The sequence below is a fragment of the Homo sapiens genome, chromosome X (genome assembly GCF_000001405.40).
Source record: "Homo sapiens chromosome X, GRCh38.p14 Primary Assembly".
NCBI lineage: Eukaryota > Metazoa > Chordata > Mammalia > Primates > Hominidae > Homo > Homo sapiens.
In genome coordinates this window covers 106906969-106921023 of record NC_000023.11, presented here as the reverse complement: position 1 = coordinate 106921023, position 14055 = coordinate 106906969, and the positions used below count along the sequence as shown (strand labels likewise).

General features: G+C 45.1%; 1 protein-coding gene across 3 annotated transcripts in view; it reads right to left on the bottom strand.

The window, feature by feature from the left end:
• Positions 1–14055, bottom strand: part of CLDN2 (claudin 2) — a 30698-nt gene that overhangs the window by 9838 nt on the left and 6805 nt on the right. The window contains exon 1 of one of the 3 annotated variants that reach the window (NM_001171095.2): positions 2555–2664. The exons of 1 other annotated variant lie outside the window; for it this stretch is intronic. The gene's annotated coding sequence lies outside the window, so the exon portion shown is untranslated. Of the gene's footprint in view, positions 1–472; positions 623–2554; positions 2665–14055 lie in introns of those variants that run through there. One more of the 3 variants, NM_020384.4, reaches the window with a different exon arrangement.

The window sequence follows — 14055 nt, the reverse complement described above, 5'->3', positions numbered from 1 at the left end:
GGAGAGTCCTTGAAGGACCTCATGGGGAAACTTTATGACTTCACTTAGGAACCCACCTTCTGCTACCTCCCTGAGCCTTCATGCCAAGGAGGGCACTGGAGCTGGCTGTGAGGGAGTGCCCCTTCTGCCACTCCTCAGTCCCCTACACTTAGGCAGAGGGGTAAACTGTGGCTCCCTTCCTCCAATTTTTATCCCAGTCCTTTTAAGCCCCCAAACCAGAAAATATCTGATTTGGAGAGTGCTTTCTCTGGTCCTGAAGTTTTAAAGATTTGAACCTTTGTGATAGCTTTGAGGGAACAAATACCACCAACCCAAATGCCACCGGAGTTTCCCCTCCCATACCCTTCACTCAGAAACCCAAGGTGGCCCAGCCTGGCTCCACCATGGGGTGAATGGATAGTGACTAGGAAGGAAGAGTGCCCACCTCGGTGAATTTAAAAGGCAGCAACTATATCAGGATGGAGATACTTACAGGGCAGTTCTTTGCAGAGCCTTGGAGGGGGAGATGCCCCTGGAGAGGGAGAAAGGGATCCTGAGGGAGGGGAGCGAAGTACAAGGGGCCACGGGCTGAGGTGATAAAGGATTTCTAATCGTTAACCACAGCTTTGCAAAATCCATCTGCAAATCTGAGCCGTGGGTCAGAGACTTATTACAGATCAGAATTAAACCCCTGGAGGCTGGGAAAGATTGAGGCACTTTAGAAAAAAAAAAAAAAAGGTTTGGTGGGTTTTCTGTGTGTGTTTTTTTTTTTCTGTCAAAAACTCCACTCCAGCTGGGCTTTTGTGTGGTGACCTCTGTGAACCCAGGAGAGGCCTTGTGGGGAGGGGGATTTGGCCCAAGAAGGAATTCAGAACATTCCAGCTTTGAGGGTGGTGAGAGGAGGGGGCTCTGTCCCACCAATTAGGTGTCCCTGGCTAGCAGCCCTGAAGCCCAGCAGGGAGTAAGCTGCATAAACACAGCCCTGGTGAGCCAGTGCCCAAGCAGCCCTGCATGGCCTGCAGCTCCATAGACTTTTCTACTCAGCTTGATTCTCTGGCAGGCCCTCAGCCCTACCCCACCCCTAAGGTTGGTCCCAAGGCTCAAGGGCAAACATGGGTACTGTAGGTTCAGACTCTGAGTTCAAAGAGCAGGTCCTACAAGGTGGAACTGAGTAGGCCAGCATAAGGACAGGGCTCTCCTTTTTACCACACATGGCAGTGCCATGCACTATGTCATTTAAGCCTCTCAAAAGTGCTGTGAAGGCCGTGTGCAGTGGCTCACGCCTGTAATCCCAGCACTTTGGGAGGCCGAGGCGGGTGGATCACCTGAGGTCAGGAGTTCGAAAACAGCCTGGCCAACGCGGTTAAACCTTGTCTCTACTAAAAATACAAAAATTAGCTGGATGTGGTGGTGCGCACCTGTAGTCCCAGCTACACGGGAAGCTGAGGCAGGAGAATCACTTGGACCCAGGAGGCGGAGGTTGCAATGAGCCGAGATCATACCACTGCACTCCAGCCTGGGTGACAGAGTGAGACTCCATCTCAAAAAAGCAAAGCAAACAAACAAAAACCCAAACAACAACAGAAATAAAACCAAACCAAAACAAACAAACAAAAAAACATGCTGTGGAGTAGTAGAGCGCAGTGACTGGCTTTACTCTCCCAACGCAAAAAAGCTTTCTAGTTTTTTCTAAGTAGAAAAATACTAGATGCTATTGAAAAGAATTCAGAAAATGAATTATAAAGAAGAAAATAGAGGTCCTCATAATGCCACCAGCCAGAAATAATCATTGCTAACATTTTGATGTATTGTAGAAGATATCGATGGGATTTGTTTTATAAAATTGAATCACACTATACCTACAGTTTATGTAACCTTACATCATTTGTAAATAACATATCGTGGACCTATTTCCATGTCAATTAAAACACAGAACTACATCATTCTGTCATGGCTGCACTGCATTCTATCATATAAAATATGATTTATTTAATCGTAAACTACTAGACGTTTTGTTATTTTCATTTTCACTATAACCCAGCATCTTTGCACATAATACTGACAAAGTCTTAAGAATAGAATTGCTAGGTGAAAGAGTGTGCATGTTTTAAAGGCCAATACAACATGTTACAAAAATAAGACAGCCATTACTATTTCCAGATGAGGAAACCTCGGCCCAATGAGATGAAAAGAGTTGCCCAACATCCCAAGTTGAGCAGTAATAGTTAGACTTGGAATCTAGGTCTGTAGATATCTAGCTTGGCAAACTTTGCAGTGTACAACACCAACTCCCTCCCAAGGATTCCCATGTACAAATGATAAGGCCACGGTTCATTGAACACTTGCTAGGTGCCAGGCACTGTGCTGAGGTGTTTCCTATCCATGGTCTCACTGTGCTAGTACAGAGCAAGGCCTGGGTACCAAACCTGGCCACCTCTAGAGCTTGCCTCATAGTCATTATGCTTGACTCTATTTTTCAAGTCATATCAAAGCAAACAGTCGGATTTGTTGCCTAGGGTGAACTCAGTGAAGCAAACCAGAAATCATCCTCCTTCCCAAGGCGGCCCATCCCTACCTTGCAGGTACAAATGGGGCACTGATCCCCTGGCAGTGCTCCTGAGCAAGGGTCTCTCCAGGGCACTCCCTCTTGGCAGGCTGGGACACGCTAAAAGGGCAGCCATGCCTGAGCTCAGGCCTGGGGAGTCTTTGGGCATGAAAGCAAGCAAGGCTGAAGGGGTGGGAGGGATACCAGGCTAATCCTCTAACCAACTATGTGACCTCAGGCAAGCCTCTCCATTTTCTTTTCCCAGGCTTCACCCAGCCGAATTCCCAAGGCTGGGTGAATGAATGTGAATGCATTTTGACAAGTAGAAAATGCTGATTGAATGCAGAATGTAGTAGAGGGGCACCTTATCAGTTCATAGTGACTGTGCAATTGAGGATAGGAAAAGGCAGAATCTTAGGGGCAGGTGCCAGGGCGGATGAGGAGACTGTGTTGGCAGGATGTGGTTTCCAGATTGGCAATCATTCAAGGACTGGGTTCTAACACTGTGTTTCCTTCAGGTCGGCATTGTCAGATCCTGGTGGAATCATGCCAAATACTATGACTCCTCAGTGTTGAGCCTAGGAGGTTCTTTAGTAATCCTTCTGCCAAGACCCCTGCTGAGATCCAAAGAGCTTAGATGGGTGCGGGAATGGAGAGGGGGCTGAAAGAACAGGAAAGAATAGCAGTCTGAGAAAAGCAGCATTTAGTTCAGGAGACAAGTGAGTAGGGAGAGAATAAAGGGAGGGAAATAAGAGTATGGGAAGAGGTGGTTTGGGGGAAGAGAAAAGGAGAAGAGAGAAAAAGGGTCTTTGAGGAAGAAAATCAAAGAGAGCTCTGTAGAAAGCAAGGTCTTGAAGGGCAGGGAGGAAATGATGCTATGAAAAGAGGAGTCTAGAAGGAGAAGTAAGAGACTCTAAGGAAGAGGGTGTAGGGATGGACTCTGGGAGAAGGAGTTAGGGTCTAGGGCAGAGAGAGACTTAGAGACATTTCACCCTCACTGTTCCACCAAAAGAAGTTCTTGTCACAGTTACCAATGACCGCATGTCACCAAATCCAATGGCCACTTTTTAGTCCTTAATTTCCATGACCTCTATGCAACATTCAATGCCCTTGATAACCTTGTCTTCCTTGAAATACTTTCTCCTCTTGGCCTCTGTGATAACAACACTCCTCTGGTTTCCCTCTTATCTTTCTGGGTACTTCTTCATTGGTACCTCTGCCTCTGCCAGACCCTTAAATATGGGCACTTCTCAGGAGCCTGACCTAAGTCCTCGTTCCTCACTCTGCATTCCCATTCTGGGAAGTCTCATTTATCCTCTGTGGTTTCAGTTATCCTCTATCATCTGACGACTTCCAAATCATCATTTTCAGCCCAGACTTCTCTGGGCTTCAGACCTTTATATACTGGCATCTCCATTTGGATAGCTGAAAGTTGTCTCAAATGCAACATGTCCAGGGTCTTGCTCTGTTGCCTGGACTGGAATGCAAGTGGCATGATCACAGCTCACAATAACCTTGAACTCCTGGACTGAAGGGATCCTCCTGCCTTAGCCTTCCAAGTAGCTGAGACTACAAGCATGTGCCGCCACGCCCAGCTAATTTTTATAATTTTTTTGTAGAGATGGGGTCTCACTATATTGCACAGGTTAGTCTCAAACTCCTAGGCTCAAGCCAGCCTCCTGCTTCAGCCCCTCAAAGCGCTGGGATTACAGGTGTGAGCCACTATGCCCAGCCTCAAAATTGTATCCTTGATTTCCCTTTGAACTGAAATCAGTCCTCCTTCAGTCTTCTCCCTTTGAGAAAGCCAATTGTTTAAGCCAGAAACCTCAGAGTTAGCCTTAATTCCACTTTCTCTGACCCTCATTGTATCAGACCTGTAAATCTTTCCCATTCTACCTCCAAAATTTAGCTTTTTTGTCCATCTGCTGGTTTCGACTTCCACTCCCCTTAGCATCATCTCTCACCGGGATGCAATACCCTTCTGATTTTCCTATTTCTCCTTTTGGCTTTCTACAGTCCATTCTCCACATAGTAGTATGATTTGGCCCCTACCTAGCTCTCCAAACTGGTTTTGTACTACTCTCCTCACTCCCCACTCTCCCGACTGGCTTCCTTTCAGTTTCTCAAGCCTACAATGCTCTCCCTTCCCTCTAGGCCTTTACAAGTCCTGTTCCTTCTGCCTGGAACTCTTTGTGGACCCTGGCCCTACTCCACCTTCAGCTGGTTTTGTCTGGAAAACTCCTTATCCTTTAGGGCTCAGCTTAACGGTTGCTTCCCTGATTCCTGGGGTCTCTTGGTTGGATATTCCTCCTCTATGCTCCCAAAGCATCTTGTTATCCCCCCACCAATTGTCTTGGGTTGTATTTGTTGTTGCTACTCCTGCATAGGACTGTGAATGCCTGAAGGGTTTGGCTTTTTTTTTTTTTTCTTAATTCAACTTTTATTTCAGGTTCAGGGGTATATGTGCAGGTTTGTTATATAGGTAAACATGTCATGGGGGTTTGTTGTGCACATTGGGTTTGGCTTTCAATTGTTATTTTCATCACTATTCTAGTCTAATACATAGTAGGTGCACCATTGAATTGATGGAATCAGACTGAGAAGAGATTGTGGTAAGAAGGGAAACACTAGATGGGTCTGGGAAGAAAGGGGTCCAGGAGAAGAGGAAGGAGAGACAAAATGATTATGTAAGAGAAAGGTGGGTGAAGAAGAGAAGTTCTGGGAGGGGAGGCAGGAGAAGGGCTCATGAAGACATGTCTGGGAGGAAAGAGAGAATAAAGGTTTGAGAGGCAATGGATAAGCAGATCTAGGAGGAGAAATGTTGAGCAAGGGCTTCCTAAGCACTAATGCACAGACTTAAGAAGAAAGGAAGGGAGTGGTAGAGGATCACCAATAGGAGAAAACTAAGGCCAATGTAGCAAGATTTGTAAATTATTTAAAGCTTATTCAATTTAAAAGACTACTTGTAATTCCGGACTTATTCTTTGAATAGTTGGTATTAAGGTTTCTTTTGTAAAATAAGAGGTGGTAGTATTTTTCAATGCCCTTAATTAACAAAATTAAAAGTTTGAAAACCATATGTTGATTCTCCCTCATTTTAAAAAATTTTGTAATTCCACTGGTCCACAAAAATCCCAATTGAGGAGAGCTCTGGGAAGAGCACATTCTGTCAATGGGTCTCAACATTTTGGTCTCAGGACCACTTTACATTCTTATTTAGGAAATGACCTAAATGTCTTTCAACTAGTGAACGAATAAACTGGTACATCTGTGTAATGGAATACTACTTCACAATCAAAAGGAATGTACTATTGATACACACAGCTACATGGGTGAAGCTCAAATGTATTATGCTGAATGAAAGAAGCCAGACTCAAAAAGCTGCTTACTGTTATGTTCTATTTATATGACATTCTTGAAATGACACTACTTAGGGATGGATAATAGATTAGTGGTTGCCAGGAGTTGGGGTAGTGGAAGGGGTTTACTACAATGGAGTGGCATAAGGAAATTATTTGGGGTGTTGAAACTCTTAATTGTTGTTACATAATTCTATGCATTTGTCAAAATTCATGGAGCTGCACACCCAAAAGAGTGAATTTTATACATCCCTCCACATTTTGTCATTCAGCACCTTAATATCTATGCAAATTTAAAAATAAACAAATAAAAGATATTAGTTAACAAATTATTGAGGACTCCAAAGGGCTTTTATTTGTCTAACCTCCAAAGGGTTATATCTATTGACATTGAACATATTTATAATTAAAACTTACATTTTAACTATTTATGTATTACTTTAAAATAAAAATTATAAACCTATTACATTATAACATAAATAATATATATTTATGACAATTATAGTTTTCAAAACAAAAAAATGGCAAGAAAGTGGCATTATATTCAATATTTGCAAATCTCTTTAATGTCTGGCTGAGCACAAGGCAGCTGGATTCTCATATCTGCTCTTGCACTCCAGCTGTTGCAATATGTGGTTTTTGGTTGAAGTGTGTGAAGAAAATCCAGCCCCACAAAGATAGGGAGGTAGAGAAGGGGGGTATTTAATAGTCCTTTTAGGCAGAATTCTAAGAATGACCCCCAAATGTCCCTCACATGCCTATAAATTTCTTCTCTTTTGGGAGTGTTTCTGATGAGATATCACTCCCATGTTTGTGTTAGTTATATGGCAAAGGGAAATTATCAAGGTTGTACTCACCTAATCACAGGAATCCTTTAAAAGAGGGTTTGTGGCCGGGTGCGGTGGCTCACACCTGTAATCCTAGCACTTTGGGAGGCCGAGGTGGGTGAATCACCTGAGCTCAGGAGTTTGAGACTACCCTGGGCAACATGGCAAAACCCACTTTATTAAAAATGCAAAAATTAGCCGGGCGTGGTGGTGTGTGCCTGTAATCCCAGCTGCTTGGGAGCCTGAGGCAGGAGAATCACTTGAGCCCGGGAGGTGGAGGTTGCAGTGGGCCGAGATTGCACCACTGCACTCCAACCTGGGCCACAGAGCGAGACCCTGTCTCAAAAAAAAAAAAAAAAAAAAAAGTTTTCTAGTGGTGGAAAAGGAAGTCGGAAGTGAGAGAGATGCAAACTTGACTATGCCGTTGATGGTTTCCAAATGGAGAGAGCTGCGTAAGAAGGAGTGTAGGTAGCCTCTAGGAGCCATAAGCAGCCTCTGGATGACAGTCAGCAAGTCAGGGGGGCCTCAGACCCACACCCTGAAGGACCTGGATTCTGCTAACAACCTGAGTAAACTTGGAAGGGGACTTTTCCCCAGAGCCTCCAGATAAGAGCCCGGCTCAGCTAACCACTTCATCTCAGCCTTGTGAGACCCTAAGCAGGGAACTCAGGTGAACACACCTGGATTTCTAACCTATATAACTGCGAGATGATAAATGGGCATCGTACTAAGTTGTTAAGTTTGTGGTAATTTGTTATGGCAGCAATACAAAACTAATAAATGGTGTGGGGATTCTTCTTGATAACTACACCTAAACTTCACAAGTGGTTGTTTCTTAATGTTTCTTTGCAATGTTGAATCTGAAACTAAACCGTATCGGTGAACCTTTTGTACTCTGTTACATTAAAATCTACTGGTCAGCCAGGCACCGTGGCTCACACCTGTAATCCCAGCACTTTGGGAGGCTGAGGTGGGTGGATTACTTGAGGTAAGGAGTTCAAAACCAGCCTGGCCAATATGGCAAAACACTGTCTGTAGAAAAAATACAAAAATTAGCCAGGCTTGGTGGTGTATGCCTGTAGTCCCAGCTACTTGGGAGGTTGAGGCATGGAAATTGCTTGAACCTGGGAGGTGGAGGTTGCAGTGAGCCAAGATTGTGCCACTGTGCTCCAGTCTGGGCAACAGAGTGAGATTCTGTCTCAAAAAAAAAAAATCAATTGCACTTTGAATGGATCTGTTATCCATGCATGATTTTGTAACATCATGCATTAGTCATCTGGAAAATATCGGTCCACCCACTTATGCAGATCTTCCCATTGCTGACTCGCTTTTTGATTCTACAATATTAAAAAATCACATTCATTAGTATCCCTACTAATCTTATTAGAAAGCTCTTTAGGATATTGAGAAGCTCTCAAGCTCACAGTGGCTGATACAGGTTTTCCAAAATTGTGCTTTTTACTTGAAAGCGTAACTTTTATCATTGACAACAAATAGTAACAGTTGTTTTCCTTGAGGTGACAGGATCATTTTGTCCATTTTTAACAAAATACTTGCCAAGCACCCAAGTTTGAATAACCACAATTTATCTGTCAATCATTCAAGTAAAAAAAAAAATAAAGTGCTCCCCAGCACTTTGGGAGGCTGAGGCAGGTGGAATGCTTGAGCCCAGGAGTTTGAGACCAGCCTGGGCAACATAGCGACACTGTGTCTCTGCTAAAAAAATAAAACAATTAGCTGGGCATGGTGGCGCAAGCCTATAGTCCCAGCTACTTGGGAGGCTGAGGTGGGAAGATCGCTTGAGGCTGAGAGATCGAGGCTGCAGTGAGCCATGATGGCACCACTGCACTTCAGCCTGCATGACAGAGCCAGACTCTGTCTGAAAAAAAAAAAAAAAAAAAAAAAGAGTTCCATAAAAAATTCGCTAGTTTAGCTTGCAAGTCAATTGTGCAAGTGCTTTTCCTCATGACAATTGCACTTCAGTATGCAGAAGTGCTTTATATATCCATATATACTTCCTATGCCCAGCCCCATGAAAGTAGTTTTGACTGAACCTCCTGAATTTTAGGGGCTCCCTGGGTCTTTGGACCACATTTTTAGGGCTGCTGGTCTAGGCTGAGGCTGGAAGAGGGAGGGAAGAGGTCTGGGAAAGAGTGGAGATGAAATTTTAATTATGCTTAGAAATGTCCTGTCAGTAGAGGAGACAGCTGGGCATGAAGAGGAGGAGAGGATTCCTAGGTTCCTTCCCAAAGGACCTCTGCTGTTGTTGTGCCCTTTCCTACTCCTGACCTGCCTTGTTCATGAGCTGTCCCAGCCAAGTCAACAGCGACCCTCTGTAACTACTCGTATCCTGGGATCTTGGGTGCTCTGTCTTAGAAGGCCCCAATATGAACAGAGAATCCCACCCTGGCCCATGCACCTGTCATAGCTGTCTGCCACCCTACCGTAGAGCCCCAAGGCTACTTGCTAGACTAAATCTATTAGTCTTCTCAGACCAACTACCTGTGTCAACATCATTCCATTCACATGAAATGAACGCCTGCCATGTCCCCAGTCCTGTGCCAGGTGCTGATGGGAGCGAGGAGACAAGATTAAGCCACAGCACCTCGATAGAAAGGCTTGCTTCTTATCCAAAAAAGTGACTGAAAAGAGGGCTGGCACCCCTACATGGGGGAAAAGCTCAAATGAGAGGCCTGCAGAGGGACGCAGATGTTAGCGTGGCTTGGAGGCTTCCTGCAGTCAGTGTGGATTCAAGGAGGACCTGGAAGGGAGGGCAGAATTTGTGTCATGGGGAAGAGTGGTGTTCTAGTCTTGGCAGGGGTTTGGGGGGTGGAGATGGTCATGTGCAGGGACACTGTAGTAACAAGCCTGCTGGAAGTAAGGGGGAGAGCAGGGTGGAGTCAGAGGTGAGGCTTGAAGGAACAGGGAAAACATGTAAATGCCTCTTATTCCCATCACTCATGAGCTGCCATTGCGGGTGTCTGAGCAGGATGGAAGCTATGTTCTGGGAAGCCAAATCTGGCCCAGTATGCAAAAACACCTGAAAGTATGTGGGACAGAAAAGGAACACCAGTTTCCATACAGTATTTCATTTCATCCTCACTCCAGTCCTGGGAGATGAGTACTATTGTTTTCATCCCCAGGAAATTGAGGCTCAGAGATTGGTTCACTTACCCAACATCACCTGCATGGTAAAAGATTGAGGAAGGCTTCCAACCTAGGCCTGCTTCTAAAGCCTGTGCTCTGAATAGCCACAATGTATGCAATGATGGAGGGGCAAAAGGAACAATCATAATAGTCACCATTTACTGAGTGCTAACTACATGTCAGGTTTTAAGCAAAATCCATGCACTATTTCTTTCAGTCTTCACTGCAACTCTGTGAAGTAGGAACCATTATTTTTCCCCCACACCCAAGTCTAGCTATAGCGCCCAAGCTTTTTCCACGTTAAGATCGACTGCAAAAGTACAGGCATTAGACAAGAAGGGCCTGAGTTAGAGTGGCAGACAAACCTCTCAATAGCTTCTTGAGCCTGGGTAAATTGCTTAATCTCTCCATGCCTCAGTTTTCTGCTGACCTTTACTTTTATGGCTTTTTTTTTTTGATGGAGTTTCACTCTATCTGCCCAGGCTGGAGTGTAGTGGTGCAATCTAATTTTACTGCAACCTCTACCTCCTGGGGTTCAAGCGATTCTCCTGCTTCAGCCTCCCGAGTAACCAGGATTACAGGTGCCCCAAGCCACCACACCCAGCTAATTTTTGTATTGTTAGTAGAGACAGTGTTTCACCATGTTGACCGGGAGGGTCTTGAACTCCTGACCTCAGGTGATCTGCCCACCTCGGGCAGATCACCCAAAGTGCTGGGATTACAGGCATGAGCCACTGCGCCCAGTCTCTGCTCACCTTTAAATGGCAGCAATAATAGTAACTACCTCATAAGATTTTTGTGAGGAGTCAATAATAAAACAATAAAGCACTTAGCACGGTGCCTGGCACACAGTAAGCAGTCAATAGATGTGAGCTATTTTTCTTGTCATTGTTTTTGTTAGTTTCTCAGGATCCACATCCCAGGAAGATAGCTGCCACTAGTTACTAGTATCGTTTGCTTACTTAGCCAGGATCATCAGGACACCAAGACTAAAAGGACAAGAGGAAAGACCGCACTACTGAGAATTCAGCATCGCTTCATCTTCCCAAGGTCTCAGGCCAGGCTGGGAAAGGGGGCTGTCTCAGAGAAGAGAGGATGAAAAGGCTGGCCCAAGGAGCCAGGGGAGGAGCTGGATGGAAGGACAGGACGGAGAAGGAAAGGAGCCCAGCTGGGAGTGACGTTTCCAAACACCTCCCTCCTGCCCACCTTCTTCCTCAGAGCTTTGTTTTTCTAGGCTTCTGCAGTCCAAATGAGGAGCAAATGGGGAGCTGCGAGAGGTTCTGCCAAGAGAGCCCGCACCACATGGGCCACAGCCCTGGCTCAAATGGTGGACCAAGCAGCAGAGGGTGTAGGAAGAGAGCTGACCCAGGAACAAACTGTTCTCCAGAGGGGACCCCCGTCCCAGGAACCCAAGGGACTGCATATAAGAGTTGGCACATTTGGGACATTTGGACTTGAGGGCAGAGGCCCCAGGCACCATTTGCTATTTATGATTTGGAGGCAGGCCTGGGTTGGGGAGAGAAACTTCTCCTTTGCTCCTCTTTCAGAGCAGACCCTGTATTACTTCGGGCCTCCACTGGGCACCCTCACTGGATGTTTAGGCCTCCTGCCCTCAACCCCAGGGGCTCCGGCTTGCAAGACAGAGGCCAGAGGGAAAGAGGAAGAGCTCCTTTCTGGAGAGGAGCGCAGAACTTGTTGCTGGAAATTTCAACCTGGCATTCAACGTTCTCCTCCCTCTGTTGCCCGCTGGCCTAGGCTCTCACTGTTCCCAAGACAGCCCACTCTCCCCACTGCTCCCCAGTGGCAGGATAGGGCTGGGCAGTGGTTAGGAGCACAGAGACTCCCCGAGTTCAAATCCCAATCTTGTCACTTTTAGCTCTGTGACCCTGGGTAAGTTCCCCAGTCTCATCTTTAAAATGCAGCTTTTAATAGTATCTTCCTCACTGGGTTGTTTGTGAGACTTGAATTAATTCACGCAGAGTGCTTAGAATAATGCCTGGCGTATAAATGTTTAACAAATGTTCTCTACTCTTATTATCCACCTCTGTGCCACTTTTCTCTGCCAGAATTACATTTCCACCTTCTCTCAGCCTCCTTAAACCCAGTCCAACTCAATCTCCTCCTCCTCCATGAAATCTTTGGGCAGTATCCAGTCTCCTGACCTCTGTTACACCCGGCAATGAGACCAGAACCATTTTGAGAGCAAAGGACAATGACATGAGCAGCACTAACTAAATGAATCACAGAATAACATCTGCGCTAATCTCCTTAGTGCTATCAAACTTTTTGACTGTGACCCACAGTAAGAAATATATTTTACAGCATGGCCCAGTCCATGCATTTGGTATCAGTGTATTCATTTGATACACAATGCATTTGTATATAAACATTGTTATAGAGTATGAAAAAAAATAGCCATGGGTGTTGGGACACACCTGTGGTCCCAGCTACTTGGGAAGCTGAGGTGGAAGGATCGCTTGAGCCTAGGAAGTCAAGGCTGCAGTGAGCTGTGATCGTGCCACTGCATTCTAGCCTGGGCGACAGGGTGAGACCCTGTCTAAAAAGAAACAAAAAAAACAACAACAAAAAAAAAAAAAAAGAAAAGAAAAGAAAGAAAAAAAATACACTGTCCCAAGAATGACCCTGAGCCTTCCCTCCAGAGGCCCTAAACCCTGAAAAGATTACAGGTGAATGGCGTGTTTGCAGGATGGAGATAGAGTTGAGGGAGGCTGCAATGGATGGTGTGTGGAAGCCCTTCTGAGGCAGAAGACCGGAGAGCAGGCTGAGCTCAGATGTCAAAGGACTTCAACTGCCACACGAAGGAGTTTGGACATTTTCTATAGACACTGGAAGTTTTTAAGGAGAGGAAGACCATACTTGGCTATGTGTTTTAGAAAAATCTCTGGGGCAGCTGTGAGGAGAATGGATTGGAAAGGCTACCTCACAGACAGGGAAAACTATGAAGAAGCTCTGTTGAGCATCCAGGTGAGAGAGGACAGATGAGGCCATAATTTAAGAAACAACTGGGAGAGTGGAAGAGTGGAGAACATGGAGGAGACAAAAGTCAGAAATGGTAAAGACCAAAATCAGCAGCCGAAGTTTTGAGCTTGAGTAACTGGGTCAATATAATGCTGGTTTCCAAGGTAGGTACAAAGGAGATTTGTCCGGCAAGAAAACAGTTCAGTTTTGGAATAAGTTTGAGATACCCATTGGAAAAATTTCAGTGGGAAACATAACTCTCATTCTTTCATTCATTCAATAAACATTTATGGGACTGACATAGATAAACTAATGTTTTATTTTGCCAGAGTAGAAACATTAAAGAAATAAAGTAACTTCCATCATTGCCATAATTTCAAAGAACATTTTACTACCAAAAAGTAGGAACAGCATAATCTCAGAACGAAGGAGAGTCCTTTATTATTATTATTATTATTATTATTATTATTATTATTATTATTATTTTGAGACGGAGTCTCGCTCTGTTTTCCAGGCTGGAGTGCAGTGGCACAATCTCGGCTCACTGCAACCTCCACCTCCTGGGTTCAAGCAATTCTCCTGACTCAGCCTCCTGAGTAGCTGGGATTACAGGTGTGTGCCACCACGCCTGGCTAATGTTTGTATTTTTAGTAGAGATGGGGTTTTGCCATGTTGGCCAGGCTGGTCTTGAACTCCTGACCTCAAGTGATCCACCCGCCTCAGCCTCCCAAAGTGCTGGGATTACAGGCGTGAGCCACAGCACCCAGCCTAGTCCTTTATAATTGAAAAAATGTATTTATTGAAAAACTTTCCTAGTAAAGTTTTTCTCATTTTGCTGTGAAAACATTGCTGTATAATACCAGCCTGTTCTGTGGACTGTAATTGAAGAACTACTGATTCAAGGAATGGGCAGAGGAAGAGAGGCCAGCAAAAGAGACCATGAGGAATGGTTCCAGAGGCAGGAGGAAAACCAAGAAAGCGTGATCATGGAGGCCAAAAGAGGGGAGAGTTTCGGAAATGAGGACTTGGCCAATAGTGTCTTTTGCCACCCAGAGTTCAAAGAAGTGATCAAATTTGGCAATTAGGAGGTCATTGGTGACCTTTGGCAGAGCCCTTTCACTGAGATAATGTGGCTGGAGCCAAGCTGCTCTTGGTTGAGGTGTGAATGGGAGCCAGGAAAAGCGGAAGTCTAGCATGTAGACTACTTTCAACAAATTTG